The following is a 27,494-nucleotide window of genomic DNA, read 5'->3' as shown; positions in this document are numbered from 1 at the left end:
ATGTCAGCCTAAAACAACAGCATCCTCTGGCTTGGAGATGCAGGAGGGGTTGACTGTGCCATTCTGACCCTGCCTTGATGTGTCTGTTGTTTTGACCTCGAAATATTCCAGTGTGATATTCCAGCGTCTCTGATATTCCAACGTTGCCACCATGACCCATCAATGCTCCATGGCAGCCCGGGCATGCCAGCTTCCTTCTGTCTATGGGAGTCTGGTCCCTATTTATACCCACCCTATATTCAGCCTCAAATGGCTAGGAACATTCCTTCCATGCAAGCAGGTTTGTTTTTTACCGCTTCACGCAGCTCAGTCCATTTGCAGCCTGAAAAATGAGTTGAAGGAAGAGAGTGAAGGGCTTTGCTGAGGTCAGAGGGTGAATCAGAGGAGGACCCGGGTGCTGAACTCAGATGCTTTGTCTCCTGGCTGGTCCCTCTTCCCCAACCCCAACTGCCTGAGCTCACATCACTGTGACAGCAACCAAGCCTACCCCCTCATCAGCAGCTTCGAGCTGAGCTGAGAGTCAACGGTCGGTGACATTTTCCTGAAGGGTCCCCATCACTCCTTCCAATCTCTGAGGATCCCAGTCTGGGTCTGCTTCAAACAGCCAGAGCCATGCTTCCTCAGGCAGGACACAGACAGCAGGTCATAAATCACTCCTGGGCCGGTTCCTTCTCTCATTCCCAGATTTCTCTGAAAGGGGTCGAGGTGGGATCCTGGAACAGGAGATTCTGCAGCAGCATGCATATTTACACCACTGAGGGACTAGTTGCAGCTCAAAGGTGGACACTGAAACTCTGAACTCTTCTGTTGAAGAAAATGCCTCTGAGCCCCCTGGCTTCAAAATTGGCGTCAGGAAATGGCAGGGAAGTTGGTGATCTAAACCAGAGATAAAACAGGGAGGAAAGAGCTGATCTCAACTATGTTTTTATGTATACACACACACAGCTCTTCTGCTTAGCTTTTCTAGGTTACATTTATTTTTTATTAGTCTCTGAGATCCCAACTTTGGACAACAACTATGTATTTTGACAGGGCAAAGGTTTACAAAGACAAGGGCAGGTGTGAAATGTGACACAATTATCTAGTAATCTGTCTTCTCCAACAGAGAGCTTTGCCTACACCAAAAAAAAGTGAAGTTATTCCAGCCTGACCAATATGGTGAAATCCCATCTCTACTAAAAATATAAAACAAACAAACAAAAAAACAGTCAGGCATGGTGGTGGGTGCCTGTAGTCCCAGCTACTCGGGAGGCTGAGGCAACAGAATCACTTGAACCCGGCAGGCGGAGGTGGCAGTGAGCCGAGATCACACCACTGCACTCCAGCCTGGGAAACAGAGCGAGACTCTGTCTCAGAAAAAAAAAAAAAATAAGTGCGATTATTTTAGAATTGATTAGAAAGGTGTATGTAGGACTTCCAGATGGGGTCGTTTAGTTTAAAATAACTCCAATTACCAATTAGGCAGAGTCCATTTAAAATGTCCATTAGGGGACTTGAATGATTTGGTGTGTCACTGTGGAGTTCGGAGGGACAGTCTCCACTGAGATGCCACAGGGCTTTGTCCCTTCCAATGCTGTTATCAGCAACTCAGGGAAAGAGCAGGAAATTCAGAAAAGCTCCAATCATTTATGAGCTCCTCTGTGGCCCACACCATAGGAGACACTCCAGAAGCACAATCTCTAATCCTGACAATGCCAAATTTGCAGGTGACAGACCAGGCTCCGTGAGGCTAGGTCATATAAAAAGCACATCCATTTCATTTGCCACTGGTACTGAGCTGAAAAATAAATTAAAACTAGCTGATGGCACATTCTAGATCCAAACCGATTTAGACTAAACGTTAGATTTAGTCCCAGAACGGACTGAATCTAGGGACATGGAGCTTATGGAGGATTGCTATGAATTTCTGTGCTTGGGTTCAAAAACAAGCACACAAATCTAGGATGGGGGAAATGTGAGAAGAAAAAGCCTGGGCTTGAGTCCACTGTCCATGAATGATGAGTCACCAGTGTTAAGTGTCTGCCAGAGAGGCTGGTGAAATTGTGGGCTGTATTAGGAGCAGACAAACTGCAGCTTAAGGAGGTGGAATGTAGGTGCTCTCCTTAGGATGTGAGGCTCACACCTGGGTATCTGCATTCAGTTCTGAGACTTGAACCCTCAGAGGGCAGCAGGAACCAGGTGCACCCACCTGGGAGTTAGTAACCAGAAGGAGTTGGCACTTAAAACCAAAACATGTGTGGAAAAGTTAAAGACGCTGGCTATATTTTGAATGAAAAATGAAAAGCAGGGAAAGGGGGTCATGTTGGCTCTCTCCAACTTCCCAAAGACTCTGCGGCACAGAAGCACTTATTACACATGGCTTCATGAGTATATAAAATCAGGGCTAAGGTCTAGAAGAAGGGAGTATGACTTCGTGTTAAACAAGAGCTTTCTGGACAACCGCAAGAACTGTGGGAATATAGATGGTCATAATAGGAGGTAAAATTGAGATCATCCCGTCATTGGAGGTGATCAGGTACACCGAGTTGGAGTCATGTGTGGAGTTTTGTGGGCTCTGGGCACTTTGGCTTCTGTGGACCCTTTGTTCTACTAAAAAATATTTTAAATTGTATTTTACAACTGTGTTGGTATGATGACAGACATAATCCATGCTCTACTACATTCCTCTTGTACTTCTATTTTTAAAGTTTTTTAAAATGTTTTTGTGGACCCTTAGCAGTCTTGTGGGCCCCAAGAGAGGTGTCTGTTGGGCCCAGTGCAGAAGTTGTTCCTGAATGCTGCCAGCTCACCTAAAGCAGATTCAAGCTCCTATACCGGTTGGAAGGACGAGGTTAAGATCAGATCTCCAAACTTCCCCCGGTCTGAGGTTCCATTAGGCGAGTTCTGCCAAAGAAGACAGAAGTGCCCAACATCTCTTTCTGAGATTGTTAACATGAATGTGTTTTAAAGGGAGCACAAGTTAAAGAACTATGTACATGCTTCGATGCCATTCTGTAAAAAGTACCCACATATACCCCAACTATTACAGATGGTAACCCCCGAGACCAGGGTTTAAGGACTGGGGTGGAGATGAGGAGTAGCAGTTCTTTTATTGAATATCCTTCTATTTCTGTCCTGTTCAAATGTTTATATTTAATAAGGAGTATGTATCACTGTTATAAAGTTACTAAATAAAAAATATTAGCAGAAGGGCGATAAATTTTACTATAATTTTATTTTGAGTAGATGGGGAGGTAATATGCTATTCTTTGTCAGGTTAGGAACACTCCATTATGATGGGAGATGCTCCGAGGATGTCACGGAGCATGTCTGGTGTTTTCAGTGCACAGAAAAACACATCAGAGAGATCAGCAACACCCACGTTGCCACCAAGAACTAAGGTATAAAACAGGGCTGTAAGGGACCCCTTTCCTTAGGCATCAGCCAAACAAACTCAGAAACAGAAATTCAGAAGCCACCTGCACTGACATACTCATCCTGGTAATCACAGGCGTCTCTACATTTGGCCTGTATTTTCTAAAACTCTGTTTCTTTCCCAGGTCGAATGGCTGCTGAATGCCTTTGGAACAGGAGCTATGAATCACCCCGCCTCCAGGGCTAGGAAGGAGGGTGAAGAAACTTCACAGAGTTAGCACTACCGCACTACCGAGGAGCCTGTCCTCTGAGTTATCATGCATGAGAGACACAACCCGCATCAAGATCGCCCCCATATCAGTTCCCTTTTTCTGTTTCTGTTTTTCTGTTTATCAGTTCTGAGTTCACCACAATAAAAATCTTTGAAGGGCTGAATGCTTTTGAGACAAATTCCCTCACCGGTACAGGCTGTGAATAGGATGAAAAAGGATGACAGCAGAAGAACGAATCATAAAGCTGACCCTAAGTGAAGAAAAACAAAAATCTAAGGAGATGCCTATCCCCTGAAAAGGCAAAGTGGGGGGGCGGGGGAAGAAACCCAGGAAATCTATTGACTTAAAATGACAAGAGTGGGGAAAACAGGCTCCATCATCATTTTATAGCTCTGTCTATTGTCTAAAACCAAAAGGAGCCCTTTCATTCCCATGTTCATGCGTGTCAAAACTATATATTAAACACCTCCGGTCTGAGAGGCCGTGTTGGGTGTCTTTGTCAGGTGAAGAAAGAGAAGAAGGCTGGTACACCTTCCCAGGAATTCTCACTGAAGAAAACATCTGGATTTTTTACATCTCTTGTGCAAAACAAACAAAGATTTCATTAAGTGATGTATATTGTTTTCCAAGGAAGAAACCTGCAGAGACAAAAACAAATAAGCAAATAATTGAAACAAAAATATGATAAACCCCCAAATTCTTCCAGTGCTAATTTACTTGTTATCATGGTTCTCTACAAAGGCAGAGATCACTAATTACAGGTTTTTCCAGAATTCACATTTCACGTCAAGATCATCCAATCCAAACAGTGTACGGAAAGCCTAGGGCCTTCTTCACTTTGCCCCCTACCCCACCCTACACACACGCCCCCATCTAAATGATACCCTTGGAAAGAAACCTACACATCTCATTTGTCTATATTTTGCTTCCTCCCTCGCCTCCCGGTAACCAAATGTGAGTTGTTCTCTAACTGCACTGGAGAATCAGAATTTATTGTACATATGTTTGTGTTCCACTTAATAAAAAAACCTATATTTTAAGATAAACTTTGTTAGTAATTCATGAGGTAAGTGACTATTTATGCTAATCAGGCAGAAATATATTCTCAAGCATAATGCATTACATAAATTTGAATGTAAAATGTTCAATTATGAAGTAAATACAGGTAATGCAAATAATAAATTACCTCTAATAAAAATTATAAAAGATGTGCCTTGAAAGAGAGAGCGGCTTTAACTTACAACTGTGAATTGCTTAAAGAGAAAAGAATTAATAAATGCTGAATTACTCTGATGATTATTTAGCACATAATTCACCTATTCATAACGACTCCTAGTAATCAGACTGTTGTTTCACATCCTCCAACATGAGGCAAGACTGTTTCCTCAGCAATTTTGCCCTTATCAGATTATCTCGTCTGATTCTATTAATTTTCTTCCATGAATCTGCTAACAGTGATTTGTGATTTACTTACCCTGCTAACTGAAGACTGTTAAAAGGATTTATCTAACACTGGACCTAAGAACAGTGTACGCCTTATCGTTCAGTTACTCTGAAGAACTCTTTCTCAAATCAATTTAGTTGGTTTCATAGTGAAATTTAGTGGACACTGGTTAGTTCTGCCCCATAAAATCAGCCCCTAAACAAAGAGTCCAGACACCATACCTGATGCATCCCATTCTATTCAGATTATGGATGTCTGATTCCAACATGATATATTTGAGTTGCTATAACTCACAATCGGGGAAAATATATTCCTTTAAGCTTTTAATCTTTGTAATTTGGACATGAACAGGGGTTTTGTTTTTCATTTTTGCATGAAGTCATTATGTATGTACTGACGTGAAACTATAATTGTGTTTCTGATGTTACTGTGTCACAATATTCTATGCGATGTAACCCATGTCCTCCTCCCCCTCACAAATCTCCTATAAATATTCATTGCTTTCAAAAACTTTAATACTACTGGTCCGAATTGGTCAATAATGACAAATGCATGGTTTCTAAATTACTGTATATTGTTCTACAGAGATTACTAGAGTATATATAGCAAGGGGATGTTAAGCAGTAAGAAAACACAGTTCACATTGTATTTGGATTAGATTGGCTTGGATAGAAGTGAAACAAACAATGTTAGCAAAGAAGTCTAAAGACATGTGGCCCACTGTAATTGTACAGAATCAAAAACCTGAATAGTACTCATTAAAATGAGAGAGCTCAATTGTTATAAAAGAAATGCTGCTAACAGAGAACTGTAAATGTTTAGACACCCCTGTGAATCACTAAATAATAATGTAAAAAGGATAAAAATGAGAATTAAGTTATAAGCCTGAGAGCATTACTGCTACACATCTAAAAAAATAATTCTGATCCTCTCTTTTTTTTTTCCAAGAGAAAATGGGCGACTATAAAAGACCTTGCAATAAGAGAAATAAAAATACCATGTCTTCACAGCAGTGTACATAAATAAACCATAAAAATGTGCAGATAATAATATATTTAGCTGCCCAAACATGGGCATTTAATTTCTAGAAATGATATATAACAATGTAACAATTAGATACTCAGCCATGAATGTGTATGGCACAGTCTTCATCATTAGCAAACTTTGTGTATAAAATATTATTTATTATTTATTATAATACTGCTTTCAGAGGCAATGATCATACCTTACAGCTTTTAACACAAATATGATGCAAAAGGATTAAAAGTATATCATAAACAAACAATAAATTCTTTCTAAATACACTTAAATTCATATTTTACATGAAAAATATAAACTTCCTACATTTGTGACTACTGACTTTTAAAAAGACCTAGAAAACTATTGTTACGGGCAATGTTAAATGACATAATGCTTATGTAATGGAAAGTGTGGATTTTCCTCTAAATAAACTATAATCCCTTAACTTCATTACTAGGGAAAATATTGTTAAAGAGAAGGAAAGCAAGGGAATTCTGCTAGGTTGCATAAATATTGACATAATCTTCACTCTTTCTTCCCCAAACTGGTAATAGACATAGTTTATTCCACCCAACAAAATGCTCTTATAAGACCAAAACTACCCTTATTAACAACTTCTCTGCAGTCACGATGAAAAGAAACACTACTTGTCTGAAAAATACCGACAGCGCTGCCCTTTTCAGATTAGGGTGTGCCTACGAATCTTTTGGGAAGTCTTCCATTAAGGATTCCTGGGTTTGCTGAAACTGAAGTCTACTAGGATCAGAGAAATTAACACAGGTCTAATATGGTGCAAGGAACGAGTGAGAGACACCTGAGGTTATAAATAGCAAAGCATGCTGCGGGGTGGGGAAGACCATTCTGAAGTGCAATGTTCAAGACGCTGGCTTAATATATGACTAAGTGTCAGAAGTCAGGTTTTCTGAGAATTACTTTCCAGATAAACAACTTTATAGCACTGCACTTAATCTTACTTACTAGAGACATCTCATTTATCACTGAATTACAAGTAACTTTAATCCTATTGATATTGCCATAAAGCCCGTTGAAAATCCATCCTGGCACTTTTAAAGGGTTTGGGGCCCTGTTACATGGGGATCCTCTTGCAAAGGTCTCAGCCAGAAATTACACCCCGAGGGTGTCTGTATCCCCTGGCCTCTTTGTCAACAATCAAGGAGAAGAGGAGGGGCAAAAATGATCTCTGCATCTGCCAGCACTTTCTTCGGCCCCTTTCCTATAGGGTCGGGTTCTCCCACTTCAGTCAAACTAACTTTGTGTGTCTCTTTCCTCCTCCCACACTGGGTAACCAGCTGCTTTTCACTTCATCGACAAAACTGGACACGGATCAATTTCAACTGACCTTTGCCGAAAGGTGGCGCTGTTGAGGTAAAAACCAACTCGCTCCAACAATAGTTTCCACTCTTCGATCCTTTTGCAGGCTTTTCAGAATTTTTTTTTTTTTTTAATGCACCCTCCTAGCGTCTCCCCCTTCTCATAAAGTAAAATAAATACGATTAAAAACACCAAATGCATTTCATTAATTGAAGGAATCAACAGTCCCAACTTCTAAGCAGACGGGCTGGTCTTCCAAAGGCTGGGTCGGTTTCAGGAGCTTTCTCTCCAAATAAATCTCTGCTTCTTCGACTTGCCTATCGCTTTAAAATCTTAGAAACAGAGTTAGTTGTTGGTTTCCTTCTTTTTTCTTTTTCTTTTTTATTTCTTTTTTGCATAAACTTTTAGAGAATCAATCTAGAAATTTGAACTACTTATTAGCATTTGCAACTGGGGGTGGGGGGAGCAGCCTCCCCCACCCCACCCCCCACTCTGCGTTTCCGGACTAGTTCCAGAAACCGCGGTTTAAAATTTAACCCTTCGAGGGTAGCTGGTGAGGGCTGGGGTATTGTTTTTCCCCCTTGCTCCCTGCCACGATCAAGTCCGAAATAATTAAAGGAAACGTAAAAGTGCAAAGGGCGCGCCTGACCCTGATAAACAGAGGTCAGATTTCGTAAGGGGACGGGTGAGTGTGAGTGTGTGTGTGTTTGTGTGTGTGTGTGTAAGAGAGAGAGAGAGCGAGCGCGCAATATGAGTCTCAAAGGCCAAACTCCGGCCAGTCAGGAGCCGGAAGGCTGAGCCCGGCTGACCTGACTTTGAGCTTCCCCGGAGTTATCTCGCATAGGCGCTCGCTCTGTCCAAGGGCACGCGACGCCAGCGGGCAGCCGGTCTCCGTGAAGAATGGCCTCTAAACAACTTATTTTACCTCGTTGTAAAGAGAGGGATAAAATGGGCTTTCCCTCTCCACGGATGCCCAGCCTTCTGGGCAGGCGCATGGCCGGGCGGCGCCCAGCCCGCAGCCCCGATCCGGACACCCCACTGCATCCCTCCCTTCCCGGTCCCTTCCCCGCACGGGCGCCCGAGAGACGGACAAAGAGTTGGGGCCAAGTTTGAGCGCCGGGCACGGCCAGGCTCAGGGAAGGAAGGTCCCCGGCAGACACCTGGGTACCAGAGTTGGTGCGAGGAGGAAAAGCTGGGAGGCGAATTCACAATCCTGGGGGTGGAGGGCAGGCAGGGGAGGGGAATCAGGCCAATCCCAGCCGAGTGAGCCCCCAGCGAGCTGGGGCTCCGGATGGGAGGCCTGTCTCGCGCTCCAAAGAAAAGCAAACCGCCCTCCCAGGTCCGCCCGGATTGCCGAAGCCCCTCTGGAAAAACTCCTTCCCCTCTTACACCAAACTTTGCGCCGGGCCTCGTTCCCTCCCGGGTAGGCAGCGGCGCAGGAAGGGTTAAGCCAGCCCGTCCCAGCTGACAGTCAGCTGATTGGGCCCTGATTGACAGCTCCGAAAAGTTTCCTTGTTTCTATACTATTATGCTAATCGCGGCCGCTCTCGCCGCCTCCCATTGGCCCGGAGTGCCAGTCAATTTCTCATTTGGACCTGACGTCACGAGTGCTATAAAACTCAGCAATTGCTTTAAACTCTTCTTGCTGGATCAGAGGCTTTAAAATCTTTTTTCATCTTCTAGCTGTAGCTCGGGCTGCTTGTCGGCTTGGCCTCCCCCTCCCCCCTTTGCTCTCTGCCTCGTCTTTCCCCAGGACTTCGCTATTTTGCTTTTTTAAAAAAAGGCAAGAAAGAACTAAACTCCCCCCTCCCTCTCCTCCAGTCGGGCTGCACCTCTGCCTTGCACTTTGCACAGAGGTAGAGAGCGCGCGAGGGAGAGAGAGGAAAGAAAAAAAATAATAAAGAGAGCCAAGCAGAAGAGGAGGCGAGAAGCATGAAGTGTTAACTCCCCCGTGCCAAGGCCCGCGCCGCCCGGACAGACGCCCGCCGCGCCTCCAGCCCCGAGCGGACGCCGCGCGCGCCCTGCCTGCAGCCCGGGCCGGCGAGGCGAGCCCTTCCTTATGCAAAGCGCGCAGCGGAGCGGCGAGCGGGGGACGCCGCGCACCGGGCCGGGCTCCTCCAGCTTCGCCGCCGCAGCCACCACCGCCGCCACCGCAGCTCGCGGAGGATCTTCCCGAGCCTGAAGCCGCCGGCTCGGCGCGCAAGGAGGCGAGCGAGCAAGGAGGGGCCGGGGCGAGCGAGGGAGCACATTGGCGTGAGCAGGGGGGAGGGAGGGCGGGCGCGGGGGGCGCGGGCAGGGCGGGGGGGTGTGTGTGTGAGCGCGCTCGGAGGTTTCGGGCCAGCCACCGCCGCGCAAGCTAGAAGCGCCCCAGCCCGGCAAGCTGGCTCACCCGCTGGCCACCCAGCACAGCCCGCTGGCCCCTCTCCTGCAGCCCATCTGGCGGAGCGGCGGCGGCGGCGGCGGCGGCGGCAGGAGAATGGCATCAGAACTGGCAATGAGCAACTCCGACCTGCCCACCAGTCCCCTGGCCATGGAATATGTTAATGACTTCGATCTGATGAAGTTTGAAGTGAAAAAGGAACCGGTGGAGACCGACCGCATCATCAGCCAGTGCGGCCGTCTCATCGCCGGGGGCTCGCTGTCCTCCACCCCCATGAGCACGCCGTGCAGCTCGGTGCCCCCTTCCCCCAGCTTCTCGGCGCCCAGCCCGGGCTCGGGCAGCGAGCAGAAGGCGCACCTGGAAGACTACTACTGGATGACCGGCTACCCGCAGCAGCTGAACCCCGAGGCGCTGGGCTTCAGCCCCGAGGACGCGGTCGAGGCGCTCATCAGCAACAGCCACCAGCTCCAGGGCGGCTTCGATGGCTACGCGCGCGGGGCGCAGCAGCTGGCCGCGGCGGCCGGGGCCGGTGCCGGCGCCTCCTTGGGCGGCAGCGGCGAGGAGATGGGCCCCGCCGCCGCCGTGGTGTCCGCCGTGATCGCCGCGGCCGCCGCGCAGAGCGGCGCGGGCCCGCACTACCACCACCACCACCACCACGCCGCCGGCCACCACCACCACCCGACGGCCGGCGCGCCCGGCGCCGCGGGCAGCGCGGCCGCCTCGGCCGGTGGCGCTGGGGGCGCGGGCGGCGGTGGCCCGGCCAGCGCTGGGGGCGGCGGCGGCGGCGGCGGCGGCGGAGGCGGCGGGGGCGCGGCGGGGGCGGGGGGCGCCCTGCACCCGCACCACGCCGCCGGCGGCCTGCACTTCGACGACCGCTTCTCCGACGAGCAGCTGGTGACCATGTCTGTGCGCGAGCTGAACCGGCAGCTGCGCGGGGTCAGCAAGGAGGAGGTGATCCGGCTGAAGCAGAAGAGGCGGACCCTGAAAAACCGCGGCTATGCCCAGTCCTGCCGCTTCAAGAGGGTGCAGCAGAGACACGTCCTGGAGTCGGAGAAGAACCAGCTGCTGCAGCAAGTCGACCACCTCAAGCAGGAGATCTCCAGGCTGGTGCGCGAGAGGGACGCGTACAAGGAGAAATACGAGAAGTTGGTGAGCAGCGGCTTCCGAGAAAACGGCTCGAGCAGCGACAACCCGTCCTCTCCCGAGTTTTTCATGTGAGTCTGACACGCGATTCCAGCTAGCCACCCTGATAAGTGCTCCGCGGGGGTCCGGCTCGGGTGTGGGCTTGCTAGTTCTAGAGCCATGCTCGCCACCACCTCACCACCCCCACCCCCACCGAGTTTGGCCCCCTTGGCCCCCTACACACACACAAACCCGCACGCACACACCACACACACACACACACACACACACACACCCCACACCCTGCTCGAGTTTGTGGTGGTGGTGGCTGTTTTAAACTGGGGAGGGAATGGGTGTCTGGCTCATGGATTGCCAATCTGAAATTCTCCATAACTTGCTAGCTTGTTTTTTTTTTTTTTTTACACCCCCCCGCCCCACCCCCGGACTTGCACAATGTTCAATGATCTCAGCAGAGTTCTTCATGTGAAACGTTGATCACCTTTGAAGCCTGCATCATTCACATATTTTTTCTTCTTCTTCCCCTTCAGTTCATGAACTGGTGTTCATTTTCTGTGTGTGTGTGTGTTTTATTTTGTTTGGATTTTTTTTTTTAATTTTACTTTTAGAGCTTGCTGTGTTGCCCACCTTTTTTCCAACCTCCACCCTCACTCCTTCTCAACCCATCTCTTCCGAGATGAAAGAAAAAAAAAAGCAAAGTTTTTTTTTCTTCTCCTGAGTTCTTCATGTGAGATTGAGCTTGCAAAGGAAAAAAAAATGTGAAATGTTATAGACTTGCAGCGTGCCGAGTTCCATCGGGTTTTTTTTTTAGCATTGTTATGCTAAAATAGAGAAAAAAATCCTCATGAACCTTCCACAATCAAGCCTGCATCAACCTTCTGGGTGTGACTTGTGAGTTTTGGCCTTGTGATGCCAAATCTGAGAGTTTAGTCTGCCATTAAAAAAACTCATTCTCATCTCATGCATTATTATGCTTGCTACTTTGTCTTAGCAACAATGAACTATAACTGTTTCAAAGACTTTATGGAAAAGAGACATTATATTAATAAAAAAAAAAAGCCTGCATGCTGGACATGTATGGTATAATTATTTTTTCCTTTTTTTTTCCTTTTGGCTTGGAAATGGACGTTCGAAGACTTATAGCATGGCATTCATACTTTTGTTTTATTGCCTCATGACTTTTTTGAGTTTAGAACAAAACAGTGCAACCGTAGAGCCTTCTTCCCATGAAATTTTGCATCTGCTCCAAAACTGCTTTGAGTTACTCAGAACTTCAACCTCCCAATGCACTGAAGGCATTCCTTGTCAAAGATACCAGAATGGGTTACACATTTAACCTGGCAAACATTGAAGAACTCTTAATGTTTTCTTTTTAATAAGAATGACGCCCCACTTTGGGGACTAAAATTGTGCTATTGCCGAGAAGCAGTCTAAAATTTATTTTTTAAAAAGAGAAACTGCCCCATTATTTTTGGTTTGTTTTATTTTTATTTTATATTTTTTGGCTTTTGGTCATTGTCAAATGTGGAATGCTCTGGGTTTCTAGTATATAATTTAATTCTAGTTTTTATAATCTGTTAGCCCAGTTAAAATGTATGCTACAGATAAAGGAATGTTATAGATAAATTTGAAAGAGTTAGGTCTGTTTAGCTGTAGATTTTTTAAACGATTGATGCACTAAATTGTTTACTATTGTGATGTTAAGGGGGGTAGAGTTTGCAAGGGGACTGTTTAAAAAAAGTAGCTTATACAGCATGTGCTTGCAACTTAAATATAAGTTGGGTATGTGTAGTCTTTGCTATACCACTGACTGTATTGAAAACCAAAGTATTAAGAGGGGAAACGCCCCTGTTTATATCTGTAGGGGTATTTTACATTCAAAAATGTATGTTTTTTTTTCTTTTCAAAATTAAAGTATTTGGGACTGAATTGCACTAAGATATAACCTGCAAGCATATAATACAAAAAAAAATTGCAAAACTGTTTAGAACGCTAATAAAATTTATGCAGTTATAAAAATGGCATTACTGCACAGTTTTAAGATGATGCAGATTTTTTTACAGTTGTATTGTGGTGCAGAACTGGATTTTCTGTAACTTAAAAAAAAATCCACAGTTTTAAAGGCAATAATCAGTAAATGTTATTTTCAGGGACTGACATCCTGTCTTTAAAAAGAAATGAAAAGTAAATCTTACCACAATAAATATAAAAAAATCTTGTCAGTTACTTTTCTTTTACATATTTTGCTGTGCAAAATTGTTTTATATCTTGAGTTACTAACTAACCACGCGTGTTGTTCCTATGTGCTTTTCTTTCATTTTCAATTCTGGTTATATCAAGAAAAGAATAATCTACAATAATAAACGGCATTTTTTTTTGATTCTGTACTCAGTTTCTTAGTGTACAGTTTAACTGGGCCCAACAACCTCGTTAAAAGTGTAAAATGCATCCTTTTCTCCAGTGGAAGGATTCCTGGAGGAATAGGGAGACAGTAATTCAGGGTGAAATTATAGGCTGTTTTTTGAAGTGAGGAGGCTGGCCCCATATACTGATTAGCAATATTTAATATAGATGTAAATTATGACCTCATTTTTTTCTCCCCAAAGTTTTCAGTTTTCAAATGAGTTGAGCCATAATTGCCCTTGGTAGGAAAAACAAAACAAAACAGTGGAACTAGGCTTCCTGAGCATGGCCCTACACTTCTGATCAGGAGCAAAGCCATCCATAGACAGAGGAGCCGGACAAATATGGCGCATCAGAGGTGGCTTGCGCACATATGCATTGAACGGTAAAGAGAAACAGCGCTTGCCTTTTCACTAAAGTTGACTATTTTTCCTTCTTCTCTTACACACCGAGATTTTCTTGTTAGCAAGGCCTGACAAGATTTAACATAAACATGACAAATCATAGTTGTTTGTTTTGTTTTGCTTTTCTCTTTAACACTGAAGATCATTTGTCTTAAATAGGAAAAAGAAAATCCACTCCTTACTTCCATATTTCCAAGTACATATCTGGTTTAAACTATGTTATCAAATCATATTTCACCGTGAATATTCAGTGGAGAACTTCTCTACCTGGATGAGCTAGTAATGATTTCAGATCATGCTATCCCCAGAAATAAAAGCAAAAAATAATACCTGTGTGGAATATAGGCTGTGCTTTGATTTACTGGTATTTACCCCAAAATAGGCTGTGTATGGGGGCTGACTTAAAGATCCCTTGGAAAGACTCAAAACTACCTTCACTAGTAGGACTCCTAAGCGCTGACCTATTTTTAAATGACACAAATTCATGAAACTAATGTTACAAATTCATGCAGTTTGCACTCTTAGTCATCTTCCCCTAGCACACCAATAGAATGTTAGACAAAGCCAGCACTGTTTTGAAAATACAGCCAAACACGATGACTTTTGTTTTGTTTTCTGCCGTTCTTAAAAGAAAAAAAGATAATATTGCAACTCTGACTGAAAGACTTATTTTTAAGAAAACAGGTTGTGTTTGGTGCTGCTAAGTTCTGGCCAGTTTATCATCTGGCCTTCCTGCCTATTTTTTACAAAACACGAAGACAGTGTGTAACCTCGACATTTTGACCTTCCTTTATGTGCTAGTTTAGACAGGCTCCTGAATCCACACTTAATTTTGCTTAACAAAAGTCTTAATAGTAAACCTCCCCTCATGAGCTTGAAGTCAAGTGTTCTTGACTTCAGATATTTCTTTCCTTTTTTTTTTTTTTTCCTCATCACAACTAAGAGATACACAAACTCTGAAGAAGCAGAAATGGAGAGAATGCTTTTAACAAAAAAGCATCTGATGAAAGATTTTAGGCAAACATTCTCAAAATAAGAGTGATATTCTGGATGTAGTTATTGCAGTTATCTCATGACAAATGAGGCCTGGATTGGAAGGAAAATATAGTTGTGTAGAATTAAGCATTTTGATAGGAATCTACAAGGTAGTTGAATATAATAAGCAGGTTTGGGCCCCCAAACTTTAGAAAATCAAATGCAAAGGTGCTGGCAAAAATGAGGTTTGAGTGGCTGGCTGTAAGAGAAGGTTAACTCCTAGTAAAAGGCATTTTTAGAAATAACAATTACTGAAAACTTTGAAGTATAGTGGGAGTAGCAAACAAATACATGTTTTTTTTTTCTTACAAAGAACTCCTAAATCCTGAGTAAGTGCCATTCATTACAATAAGTCTCTAAATTTAAAAAAAAAAAAATCATATGAGGAAATCTAGCTTTCCCCTTTACGCTGCGTTTGATCTTTGTCTAAATAGTGTTAAAATTCCTTTCATTCCAATTACAGAACTGAGCCCACTCGCAAGTTGGAGCCATCAGTGGGATACGCCACATTTTGGAAGCCCCAGCATCGTGTACTTACCAGTGTGTTCACAAAATGAAATTTGTGTGAGAGCTGTACATTAAAAAAAATCATCATTATTATTATTATTTGCAGTCATGGAGAACCACCTACCCCTGACTTCTGTTTAGTCTCCTTTTTAAATAAAAATTACTGTGTTAGAGAAGAAGGCTATTAAATGTAGTAGTTAACTATGCCTCTTGTCTGGGGGTTTCATAGAGACCGGTAGGAAAGCGCACTCCTGCTTTTCGATTTATGGTGTGTGCAAGTAAACAGGTGCATTGCTTTCAACCTGCCATACTAGTTTTAAAAATTCACTGAAATTACAAAGATACATATATATGCATATATATAATGGAAAGTTTCCCGGAATGCAACAATTAGCATTTTAAAATCATATATAGGCATGCACATTCTAAATAGTACTTTTTCATGCTTCATTGTTTCTCTGGCAGATAATTTTACTAAGAAGAAAAATAGATATTCGACTCCCCTTCCCTAAACAAATCCACGGGCAGAGGCTCCAGCGGAGCCGAGCCCCCTGGTTTTCTCGTAGGCCCTAGACGGTGTTGCATTTATCAGTGATGTCAAACGTGCTCATTTGTCAGACATAGCTGTAAATGAAAACAATGTGTGGCAAAATACAAAGTTAGTTAAATACACACCCTCTGTGTGATTTTTTGCTCCCTTTTCTTTTTTGCTCCTACTCAAAAAAAAAAAAATCACCTCCTTTACATTTCCCTGGCTTCTTGCATGTTTCCCTTTTCAAAAACCATGTAATAATTTTTTACAATGTATCTGACACATTAATATATTGACATCAAATAGGCAGACATTCTACTTTTGCCTGGCAAATAAATCTGCTACGGAGACATCATTTCCTCACTGTCTCAAAGCCATAACTACCTGGGAGTCTTTCAACACAGACCCCTCCGATGGGAAATGCTGTTTATTACTGAATGCAGGATGCTCACGCTCTGATCTTTTCTCCCTTGTGCCTTTACCCCAGTCATTTTTACTTAGCAACACCAATTCTAGATACTTCTGTTCTGAAGTAGAACCACCCCCTTGCCACACTGCCAGTTTTCCTGCTAAAAGCAGTGGACAGAAGACAGATCATGGTCACCCTCACAAACATGGCACACAGCTGTCTCGGTAGCTGCATTCCCAGCATGTCCTGGTCTAAATATCTAGAGTTGCCTATGACACGTTCAAAGGTTCCCAAGCACAGTACATTGGGAGGCTTTTGCTGCTGTGGCCGTTGTTTTCGTTTAGGCCAACTTACTTCCGTATTCACATACTCTTGGCTTTACGAAATACACTCCTCCAGTCTACTAGGCCAATCAATATATTTAAAAGTCTGATTGCCACATAAGTCTCTCTCTCTCTCTTTTTGTTTTTTGTTTGTTTGTTTTTTTCTGTTTTGGCTGCCGGTAGTTAAAGACTGAGATAGGTTGGAAGACTAAAATACAGGAGTACATGAGTGACAACCTTCAGCCGTCTGATTTCCATGCCGGTAAAACACACAACCAAGCTCTTCTTAGCGCTGCTAATATAAACATTCACTAAGAGGGAATAGGAAGTGAGATTTACCAGCTTCACTTTGCTGATTTGCAAGGTTCCCCACTACGATTCACTGTCATTTGATTTTTGAAAAATAATTTTGTCCGTCTCTTTGAAGAAATGTCTTAGTTCTTTTATTTTGTTTGTTTGGTTTTTTTTAGAGAAGTTTTATCTGCAGTGATAGGCTACAATTTTTATCTCCGCTGATTATTTGTCAGGATGCTGAATGAATAATTTGGTCCTGTGCCTTCCTTGTTGTTCTGAGGAAAATAAGAGAAACTTGGAAGTTTGTTTCACTCTTAGCCCATCCTAAATCTAAAAGAAGATGTCCCAGGTCCAGGCAGGCCATGTAGTAGTTATAAAGGAGGTGGTCCAGGTCCAGCCACCTCAATCAGGATTTGTTTGTTTTGAAGCATTTGCTTAAAAGCGGAGCAAGAGTCTTAACCCAACTTGCCATAACACTGCTTTTCTCGCTTTTGATGTAAATCTTCAAAATTCAGACATCAAACAGCCCCAGAAAAGGGGAATTCTCTCCAGGCATTGCTCCGCCCCAGCTCCTGAACAAACCCAGCTCTGTCTAGCATTTTTTTCCCTAGCGGGGGTAGGGGACAGGGTGAGAGAATTTCAGTCTCCCAGGCTGTCTCATGATTGTTAGGGCATAAAGAAACACAGTCCTGCCACAAATTGGGAGCATCTTTACCCTTTAGAGAGAAACAAAACAAAACTAAACAAACAAATCAAATTGCTTTGCATGAAGGCGTAGCAAATAAAATCTCGGGCTCCCTGTTCCCTGCACCATTTGTAGGAGGTGAGAAATGAGGGAAACAAGAGAAAGGGGAACTTTAAAAGCGGGAGGCCCAGAAATAATCCCTGTTACCAGTCTGAATTTCACTTGCTCCGTGGCTAACGTCAGACCTAGTGTGCATGTATGCCAGAAGTAAACTAGGCTCGGCTGTCCATTTCTTTAAAATATGTTCACATGTTTCCTTTTTGAAAACAATTTTGGGGACTAAACCCAAATGGAGAGATTTGAGGAAATCGTTAATGTCTTAACATTTGAGTATATTTATAAATGTATCAGTCTGTGATTCATAATGGTGACATTTTGGACCAGCCAGACATGTTGTACCAATATTTAAATGGTCACTGCAATAGTTTTATGACATCGTGACAGTATTTTATTGTTTAAATTCGAAGGCCCTCTGTGTGTTTTCCGTAAGTCTGCCCGAAGGAAAAAGGCTGAGATGGGAAGAGCAAACCAACGACGCACAGAAATAAGATCTTTCTATGAATTTTCATCAGAGTCGTACAGTTTTAAGAAACTCATAAAACACATTTTCCACGACTATGACTGGAATGCACAGTTCCTTACACAAATCGTAGCCTCTATTGAGCACCTCTTCTCTTGTTCAACACAATTCGTTTCCTTTTCCTTCCTTTTTACTAAATAACAGTTTTCCCTATAATTAGAACTGTGGATTGCAAAATCACATTCCTCTCTTCTACAGAGATGCACCTTAGATCTTTAGTTACAATTAGAAGGAGCATTAATTCAAGAAAGGAGGATGAAGGAGTCGTGTCTGCTGAGCTTTGGGAAAAAGAGTGGAAGGAGAGGAAGGAGTTTTCTGTATTTTCCCCTGCACTCCTCAACCTGCCCCTCACCCCTCAACCCAGGCCTTGGTGTGAGCTGCAGACCAGTGATTCGCATTCTGAATTTCTCTATTCTAAATATTCTGATTACCAGCCTTGACCGTTTCCAAGCTGAGATTCCAAAGAACTATTTTTTCCTTGTGGTTGGTCCTTTCCGTTAGGGAACAGGAGAAGCGATGAAACCTTATAGAACTGGATAGGAAGGAGAGAAAATCACTCTCCTTCCAGAATCCCCAACAAGGATTGTTGTAAAGGGAACACTGGCCTGAAAAATTAGGTCAGGAGTTCAGAGTCCCTTTTTGCAACCTATAGTTGCCCTGGTTCTCTATATGACCTCATCCACTTCTTGAGGCCTGTAGAAGTGCGTTTCTGACTTTTGTTGGAGGAATTCTGCAGAAGGAAAGCAGGCCGAGGATCCCAGGACAATAGGCAACCCCAAACTAGGCCCAGAGAGCAGAGGAGAGGAAGGGACCTGCCTGCAGAGGCTGGGAGAGTATGGCCCAGACTTTAACACAGGCCAACCTTGGCTTATGACCTCCAGTCACCAGGGGTCAGCTCCAGGTCATTCTCAGAGTCCCCCCAAAACCTCCCACCAAGAAGGATCTGTTTGCAGGGTGACTGACAAGCCGCTGACAGGTTGTGAGCTCTCCACAGAGTCCTAGAAACAACAGTGACGTCCTTAGCACCAGGGTCTGCACCCTTCCCACCTGACTCCTGTCCAATCCCAGTGTCCTCTCCATAATTTCTGACACCTTTTCCTTCCATGCCTGGTCATCCAGGGCCATGAAAGAGCCTCAAAAGTCACTGTCCTCAGGCCAACAAGTGGCAGAAGCTGAGATCTGGGACCCAATAAGTCACCTCCGCCCCACTTTAAGTGTAGACACAGACAGCGCTATGCAGAGGGTCCGGGGAGCATCACTGGAAGCTCAGCTGGAATCTTTAAAGCTGGCCAGAGCTTTTGGTGCAATGGTCTTGAAGCCTGGAATGAAGGAGATGTAGGCAGAGAGGATGCTGAGTTTGTCCCCTCTCCCATTTTCTAAGAACAACCCTCCCTCCATGCCCCCCCATCATCCCCCCCTCCGCCAACCTGGCCCGGGACAGGAACACCGCATCCCAGTCCTTTATGCATGGGTTCTGCGGGGCCCAATAGCCCTGGACATCACTGCCCGAGCCTGGTGGCTGCAGCTGCGTGGGGCTGGGTGTGCTCCCCACCCTCTGAGGTCCCCCGAGGGGCGTACAGTAGGTGCGCAGGGACTGGAGCCCAGACAGAGGGGGCGGGTCCCGAAGATTGCCTGAAGCTACCGAGTCCCTCAGTCCTGGGCCGGGCCTGCAGTCCCAGACCCGCGGCAGTGCCCAGGGAGCCGGTGCGCTCAGACGCCAGCAACGCAGCGCCCCTCGGAGATGCCCACGACGCCGCCCGGCGCCCGGGGGCGCTAATGACGGCCACACCCAGCGCGCCCCAGGGCCCCGCGCCCACCCAAGCTCCCGCACCCCTGCAGGAGCTCGGATTGTGTTCAAATTTGGTTTAAAAAGTCAAAAGGACTGCCCTAGCGCGAGCGAGCTCCGGGGGATATCAAAACTCCCCGGTGCGCCGCTCTCCTGGGTGGGCGGGCGCCTGGAGGGAGGGAGCAAGACTCGGTCCCGCAAGGCTCCGCCCTTCACCTTGAGACCCCCTCACTCCACCCGATCGCGGCCCCAGGAACCCTCTGTAAATAAGATCATCGGCTCCAGATCATTTGATTTTTCTTCTATTAGTTTTCCGGCCCATTTTCCAGATTTTTTTTCTTTTTTCTTTTTTTTTCCTGCTTCGGTTAGAGACAGAGTAAGAGGGAAAAAGAGAAAGGCAAGCGGGAAATCCAGATAGCATGTTTAAAAATCTTTATGGAAATCTCGATACGGTTTGGGGTTTCCGTGGTGTAGTTTGATGCACATTATAAAACAAAGTCAGTCAAGCAAACTTTATGAGGATTGCTCCAACAGCGCCAGGATGAGGGTCCTGCCTGCATTCTTGGATTTCATACAGTTCTAGACACATCTCAGGCATCCAGGAACTGTCTCAAGAGGACAGACTTTTAAAACCACTAATTTCAGAAAGCATCTTTTCCATGAGGGGCCTTTTTCTTAGAGGGACCCTCGGTTTGTGAGAATACTTAAGTTAGGCAAGTATCGTTACACCTTAAAAAAAATCTACTTTTTACTCTCTCCCTCTCTCTTAGGGAAGGATTTATTCATGCACAGATAGATACATTGAAACTAAAACAAACATGTCAGTATCTGAGATGCTTTTTACACTGTCAGATTTTTTATGTAAATCTTGTTTTTCATAGAAGGCGGAAAAACCCTCGGTAATCTTTCTAAGATTTTATCTGTTAAAAGGTGATGTTTGTGTCTTTCCATCTTCAGGCATTCACTCCAATATATTTTTTCATCTGGCTTAAAAAATTTATTTATTTATTTATTCATTTATTTTTTCCTGGGACCCTTTAACACATTAGGGAGGGGGCAAGCTATTAAAAGATAAATCTGGCCCGGTGTGGTGGCTCATGCTTGTAATCCCAGCACTGTGGGAGGCCCAGGTGAGCGGATCACCTGAGGTCAGGAGTTTGAGACCAGCCTGGCCAACCTGGTGAAACCCGGTCTCTACTAAAAATACATAAGTTAGCAGGACGTGGGGGCACGTGCCTGTAATCCCAGCTACTCAGGAGGCAGAGACAGGAGAATCGCTTGAACCTGGGAGGCAGGAGAATCACTTAAAACCTGGGAGGCGGAGGTTGCAGTAAGCCCAGATTGCGCCACTGCACTCAAGCCTGGGCAAAACAGCAAGACTGTATCTTAAAAAAAAAGAAAGAAAGAAAGAAAAGAGAAAAATCTACAGTTCCCACTTTATGAAATAAAAATGATCCGAAAGGCAGACTTCATCAGTCAACTCTGTCCTTTGGTAGACATGCGCAGAGCCTGGGCTGAAACTGCTGTCTTAGGGCAATCTTCCCACGTAAAAGGCAGGTAAGCTCCCTTTGCCAGACTTTCTGTGACTCGGAGCAGTGTGGAGACACATGCTGACAGCCTGCAACACGTTTTCAGGTTGCGATCCCCATGTAAATTTACTGCACTGTGCAGGTAATGAGCCCTTTTAAAATCTTCCCTGGAATATCAGTGCATGCTCCTGTACTATTTAAAGAACTCTTCAATTGTTAGGTAAACAGATCCAAGTGTAAGAGCTATGTGCTCGTAGACATGTGGCTTAGATTACTTCACTGCGGCCCAGCTCGAAAATCTCTCTTACCCCGATGTGAGACCTCCTTTTCCCCCACCATCTTTCCCCAGTAAGTGGTCTGAAAGAAGGTAATATGAACACAGAAACTGCAATGGCTTTTGGACGCTATTCAGGTGTGCAAATAGTATCTACCCCCCCCCCCCTTTTGAAAGTAAATGCTTTGATAACAGGGTGGTTTCCCCAGATGGCCAGAGAGTAGAGGTCATCTTGAAGAAAATGACACCAATGATCTAAAAAGGACATCTACTTTATGAGATTTCAGGCAAGATGCCAAATATCGCATTTAATGAGGCCTGTTTTTTTTCCTCCAAAAATAACGGAGACTATCAATGATATGGTCAGGAAGGCAAAGGGGGCATTTTGCAAAGCCTACGTCCAATTATTGCTCTGTAATAATTTTCTAAAATTGAAAAATGCCTCACAAGTATATGATCTCATGTAAATATTCCTTGCCGAAGCTTAACATATGTTTGCAACGTCCCCAAGGAATTACAAAAATATTCTCCCCACAATCTCTTAAGCTTTTAAACTCTATTCACTGGCGTTTCTAAAAGACTCTGTTGTTTCTAAAGATTAAAAAAAAAGTAATCCTATCGGGGAAGTTTTTTTTTAAAGAGATTAGCCATCTGAACTTCAAATGGAGAACAACTGATACTGATACACTTCCAGGTTTTATCACTTCAGTCTGTTTCTTGTTTCTTTCCTATTATTTTTTGCATAGAAATTATATATTTGGCAAAAAAAAATGTATACTAATACGTAAAGGCGAGTAGTTTCTACCTTAAGATTTGAAAAGCATTTCTATACAAAATGTGAATAAACGCATATAACGTGTTTAGGGCAACTTTGACAGATACAAGGGTAAGAAATGATTTATCCGAGTGCTGTGGGCATAGTCTTACCATTTAGATAAAGGGCATTTGAAGGAATTAGAGGGTTATGTGGAATGAAAATGTAAGTAAAGAAAGATTATATGTTCTGTTACAGCAGCCTAGAGAATTCAGCAGGTGCATGAGCATAGCTCATATTTGTTCGCACCAATTGTAAGGTAATCCAAATAAAAGTGTGGGGGATTAAAGAAAAATAACTGAATATCCATGTTGGAAAAAGAATTAGATTGACTTACTAGTTTATCGCCGTTATTGTACACAGATTTTCTGTGACCATGTTGAATTTTTTAAATTAGATTTTAAATATATTTTGACAGTCCGAACTTCTATATTGTGACTAGCTATAGGAAGAAATGACAGGTCTGCTTTGTTATTAAACTGCTGTCTGGAAAATATTGGACTCTGTACAGTAAATGATAATTATTTTGCCACTTACATTAGTACAGCTAATAGCAATAAGCGTTTTTTGAACCATAGAAAGCTAACTACTTTGAATTACTGTGCTTTGTTATTCACTGTGAAGCAAAAAGATTTTCTTTAAAGCAACCTCATTTTCATATCACCGTTCTAAGCACTCCCTGCTACTAATTTAAACAGGGCAGAAGTTAACAAATAAAGAGGCAGTATCTAAGCTGTTCTATTTGTTAAAAGAACATTTGCAGTTAAGGTCAGTGGTGCCAGCAGGATAGACAAAGCAACAGAGGAGGTGGGGGCAGATGGAAGAGAAGGAACCCTAGCACACACCGGCAGAAGCTGGGCCAGTGTGGTTCTCCCAGGGGCGGACAGCCTGAGAGTCCTTGAGAGAAGCCCAACAGAAATGATTCAAATCCTTCCCTTCTATGAACCCAGAATCTCTTGGCTCCCTTTGAACTCAGGACAGCTTCAAAGCTGATCCAGGCTGCCAACCAGTGGGTTATGGCTATCTCAGCCTCTCAGTTGAGAAACAGTAGTTCAGAGGGAGTGAACTTGTAACGCAGGCCATTCCCTTCCACGTCAACCCCTCCTCTGGCTTGACAGGGTTGAGGCCACCACCCAAAAGCAAATGGAACAAAATCACTCTTCTTTTGGTGTAATTCTGCCCTTTTGATAGATAGTTAGGCTGCCTGTAGCATACTGTTCTTGAAACATTCTTCGTGGTTATTAATTACCCTTTGTTTATTTTAATATATTTACTAAATCAGGTACCCAAGGGAATCCTCTACATCAGTGATGTGAAAAAATCCAGTTGCCTGAAGTCAAAGAGGTACATCTTGATTTTTGATTTGCATGTGCTTGAGTTTTTTTTTTTTTTTCCTTTTCTTTGTTTTTTTAAATGAAGGGAAAAGCAAGGAAGCAAACAAGGAATGCTGCTAACTTTTTAGGTGTGAAAAGTTCCTGTTTCATTAGTTTTAGTATTTGGGTTTCACGTGTCATGTAAATGGTGACACTAGGTGCCAAAGAGGAGGGATACATGCGATATATGTGAGAATCAGCATGCATTTATTTTTTCTGTGTTTATTTCATTATATCCATGTGTTATGTCAAGTTACTAATCCAGTTTGAGTAGATCTCAGATCTTCAGCTTTATCCAACGTGAGTCTACTGACATTCAAAGAGCTGCTTCTTCTACTTGAGTGTCAGATAATTTGGGTGAATCTGTGAAACTAGTATCCATCGCCCTTGGCCGGTTTTACCGGGGCCTCATAAACATTTCAAATTTACAGTCACTTATAATTCAGTTCTTGCTTACATTTGGACATTTTAGTGTAATTTCAAAGCACAGTGTGTCCCCACTTCTGCGTCCAAATGTGACTATGGATCCCCTCCCCACTTCAATACAAGGAAGAAGGGGAAGGAGGAGATGGGTGGGAAGCAGAAACCTGATTTTCATCTATTAAAATAATGGAATTGAGCTATTTAAATGGGTTTTCAATTACAAGTGTCCCAGCATGAATTTTATTATGAACCCTCTTCATTTGGAAAACTAGACCAACATTCTTACACCAATAATTACTTAGTGTGATAGTTTTATGTATTCTTATCACCTCTTATTGGCTAATGGTACATTTGATTTTTTTAATTAAAAATTGTGCTTGCTGAGAAATTTGCATGAAATATATTTTTTGGTTTTTAGTGAAACTGAGGGGGGCAAAAATCACACTTTCAAATTGCTGCTCTTTGCAAAGGAGGTACGTTAAGGATCCAGTGAGTTGAGAGTGTTGGAAAAACATAGCCTCATTTTTTCCCACTTTTTAAAAATAGTATCTGATTACTTACTTCTACACGGTGCTACCATGAGAGTCTTACTTTAAATTACTGGATTGTGAATATTTTGTTGTTTATTTTCTAGTCTTGGATGAAATTAATGTTTTCTTTAATAGCTCCCATACATAGTTTTAAACTCAGTGTATACATTTGGGGTTAATTTGTGTGTCTGAGTCTGTGCATGCAGTTCCGATGCTTTATTCCTTTATTGTCTCAGCCTTTATCATTACAATGTGAAAACCTCCTATTAAATATGATGATCTAGGTCCACTGGCAGGTTTCGTGACATTGAAACCATCCATTTTCAGCAAAGAGTTAATGAACTTGAAAGGCAAGGTTCACACTGGTCCTTACCCCCTGGTAATATTTCATATAAGGTTACTGGTGGGAAAGAAATCAAATTTCAGCTGTGAACATGATTGACAGGTGAGAGCAAGGAAGAGAAAGGCATTTGGTCAGATGGGGAATCTGGGGAGGAGAAGGACAATTCCTTGAAGTTACTCCGTGATATTAGATATTATAAGCTGATATATGAAAAGTTCAATACTTGGTACTCTTGGGGGAGTTACTTAGTTTATTTTCAGAATGTCACTTTGGTTAAGGGATTTCAGTCATGGAAGCCAAAACTGATGAACCACTAGCTTTTCTGCTCTCTGGCTAATTTCAACCATGTACAGCTTCATGGCTTATTTCTGACAATTTTCTAGGCTAGGATATAAAAACTAAATCATAAGCTATTTGGGGAGTCATTTAATTACCTTTTATGTAGTCTCAGAAGCATTCTAGATTATATTATGGTTCTTGGACATATTACAAAATATTCATCCCAAGTGGTATCTCAAAAAGATTAAAATCTCTATTTCAGTAGCATCCCTTGATCCTGACTAACATTTTTCATTAGGGCATGTTACAGCTTAACATACGCACATCAACCAACATGCATGCTGCGCCAAGACTGTGCCTTCTTAAAATAGGGCTTCTAACATGAAGATTAACATAGACAACAACTGCACACTCCTTGTATGCCTTTCACCCGATTTGGCTACCTGATGTAAATTTTTCCATGGTACCATCTTTGCCAGGGAAACACATGATGATGATGATGTTTTAACCTCGCGCTAAAGGTGGCTTTTGAATCTCCCTTTGAGGCTGTCTTCTATCTTGAGTTGTGACAAGGAGACAACACAACTAACTGTGGTTTGCACCAAAGTGGAGAGTTGGCGTTCAAAACATGTTCTTGCATGTTATGCGCTGAAAGACCGATCAGAACGTGGGGATGGACCTTAGCGTGCTCATGTCTAAGCTCTGCCCCTTTCAGATATTCCTGACACTGGCTAAGACCCATCCGGATGCAACCAGACCTTACAGAGTTGTCTCAGGGCAGGGCAGGTGGGACACTTACTTACCTAGGGGAGAGGCCCATTTGTAGCTTTCCTGTCACCTAAGGGAGAAACTGATGGAACTGGTATAAACAGCACTTCCTGGGCCTTAAGTACCCATCGATATTTTTTTTCTAGTCTTACAATCGGCAGATGGAGTGGACATCGTTTACCCTGATTACACCTAATCCGATGACATGAATTCAAACAGTTGTCAAACGTAAGGAAGGCTTTATGATTTTGTGAACTGGGGAAAAACAAAGCAAAACAAAAACAGTAAAAAGTACTCAGAAATCTTGTTTCTATCTTGCACGCCTGTCCTTCTGTGTTGCCCGTAATCATCCAGAAATAAAATGCAAATGTGGTTTCCTGATGCTGAGTGTTGGTGTGGGTGTCTTAGCGCAACGTGTATAGCTACTTCTTTCAAATGTAAAAGTAAAGAAGCCATAACCAAATTTCCCTTGCAGAACCCATCAACATATTTTAACAGAAATGGTGAACCACGTGGTGCCATACAAAAGACATGTGAAAACCAACACTGTGAGTTCTGATTTCTTGGTGCCTCTATTTGAAAAATCCAGGTGGCTGGTCTTGACCCCATCTTCACTGAAGGCCCCCCAGGGCTTCTAAATATTCGGTTTTAAGAGTAAATCCCCCACCCACAAGAAGGGAAGGAGAATGCTCTCTGCTGTAGATTTGGAGCAGAGACCCATCTATCCCAAATTCGACGAGTATGTCTTAAGCTAATTACATCAATATATCTGTTGGCACTGAGAAAATAAGGCCAAACAATTTCATTTAAAGCATTTTATTATTTGGATTTACCCTAAATTGTTTTTTTGTTATTGTTGCTTATTTGGATTATACTCCTCCCTAACTACCACATCACCCCCTTTCCATACAGCCTGGCTAACGTTTTTCTTTCTGTGGGCACTGGCCCACTACTGAGCCGATTTAATCAATTAATTATAGCAGAGCATGTGCAGCGTAACTAGCCTAATTATGCCATATAAACTTGTATTATTTTCAGTCAACTCTGGGGTACTATTGAAGGAGCCAACTTAAAGAAACATTAAGCATTTAGAAATAAAAAATAAAACGAAGGAATTTCTGCAAAAGTGCAGCACTCATTACTTACTTAAAACAAAATGATGCTTCTGTAGAGCTTTCATTCTAAAAGCACACGTTCAGTC

General features: G+C 43.4%; 1 protein-coding gene and 1 long non-coding RNA gene across 11 annotated transcripts in view, besides 3 other annotated features; one reads left to right on the top strand and one right to left on the bottom strand.

Moving 5' to 3' along the window:
• Positions 1-3,195: 3,195 nt before the first annotated feature.
• LOC101928230 (uncharacterized) lies at positions 3,196-8,914 on the bottom strand. Its single transcript, NR_188556.1, has 3 exons — positions 8,812-8,914; positions 7,451-7,754; positions 3,196-4,264 (listed from the first exon to the last, which is right to left on the bottom strand). It is a non-coding gene; the product is annotated as an uncharacterized LOC101928230 (long non-coding RNA).
• Positions 3,430-3,599: an enhancer, noted in NCBI's record as "active region_11159". NCBI's record gives its function as "activates an Ori minimal core promoter by ATAC-STARR-seq in GM12878 lymphoblastoid cells {active_cell/tissue: GM12878}" and the evidence as "EXISTENCE:reporter gene assay evidence [ECO:0000049][PMID:35858748]".
• Positions 3,610-3,699: an enhancer, noted in NCBI's record as "active region_11158". NCBI's record gives its function as "activates an Ori minimal core promoter by ATAC-STARR-seq in GM12878 lymphoblastoid cells {active_cell/tissue: GM12878}" and the evidence as "EXISTENCE:reporter gene assay evidence [ECO:0000049][PMID:35858748]".
• Positions 8,855-9,149: an enhancer, noted in NCBI's record as "tiled region #6091; HepG2 Activating non-DNase unmatched - State 4:PromP, and K562 Activating DNase unmatched - State 4:PromP". NCBI's record gives its function as "activates a minimal TATA promoter and a strong SV40 promoter by Sharpr-MPRA in HepG2 and K562 cells {active_cell/tissue: HepG2 | K562}" and the evidence as "EXISTENCE:reporter gene assay evidence [ECO:0000049][PMID:27701403]".
• MAF (MAF bZIP transcription factor) overlaps positions 9,064-27,494 on the top strand; it is a 398,116-nt gene continuing 379,685 nt past the window's right edge. For 7 of the 10 annotated variants that reach the window (XR_002957804.2, XR_001751902.3, XR_002957803.2 and 4 more), the window contains exons 1-2: positions 9,064-11,016; positions 23,860-23,921. Coding sequence is in view for 6 of the 10 variants with exons in the window: in XM_024450279.2 (XP_024306047.1) it covers positions 9,899-11,016; positions 23,860-23,893 (1,152 nt within the window). In the remaining 4 variants the exon portion in view is untranslated. Of the gene's footprint in view, positions 15,964-23,859; positions 23,922-26,439; positions 26,675-27,494 lie in introns of those variants that run through there. The other 3 variants (XM_017023233.3, NM_005360.5, NM_001031804.3) reach the window with 3 other exon arrangements.

This window comes from Homo sapiens, chromosome 16 (genome assembly GCF_000001405.40).
Source record: "Homo sapiens chromosome 16, GRCh38.p14 Primary Assembly".
Classification (NCBI taxonomy): Eukaryota; Metazoa; Chordata; class Mammalia; order Primates; family Hominidae; genus Homo; species Homo sapiens.
This window is presented reverse-complemented; position numbering and strand designations above follow the sequence as displayed.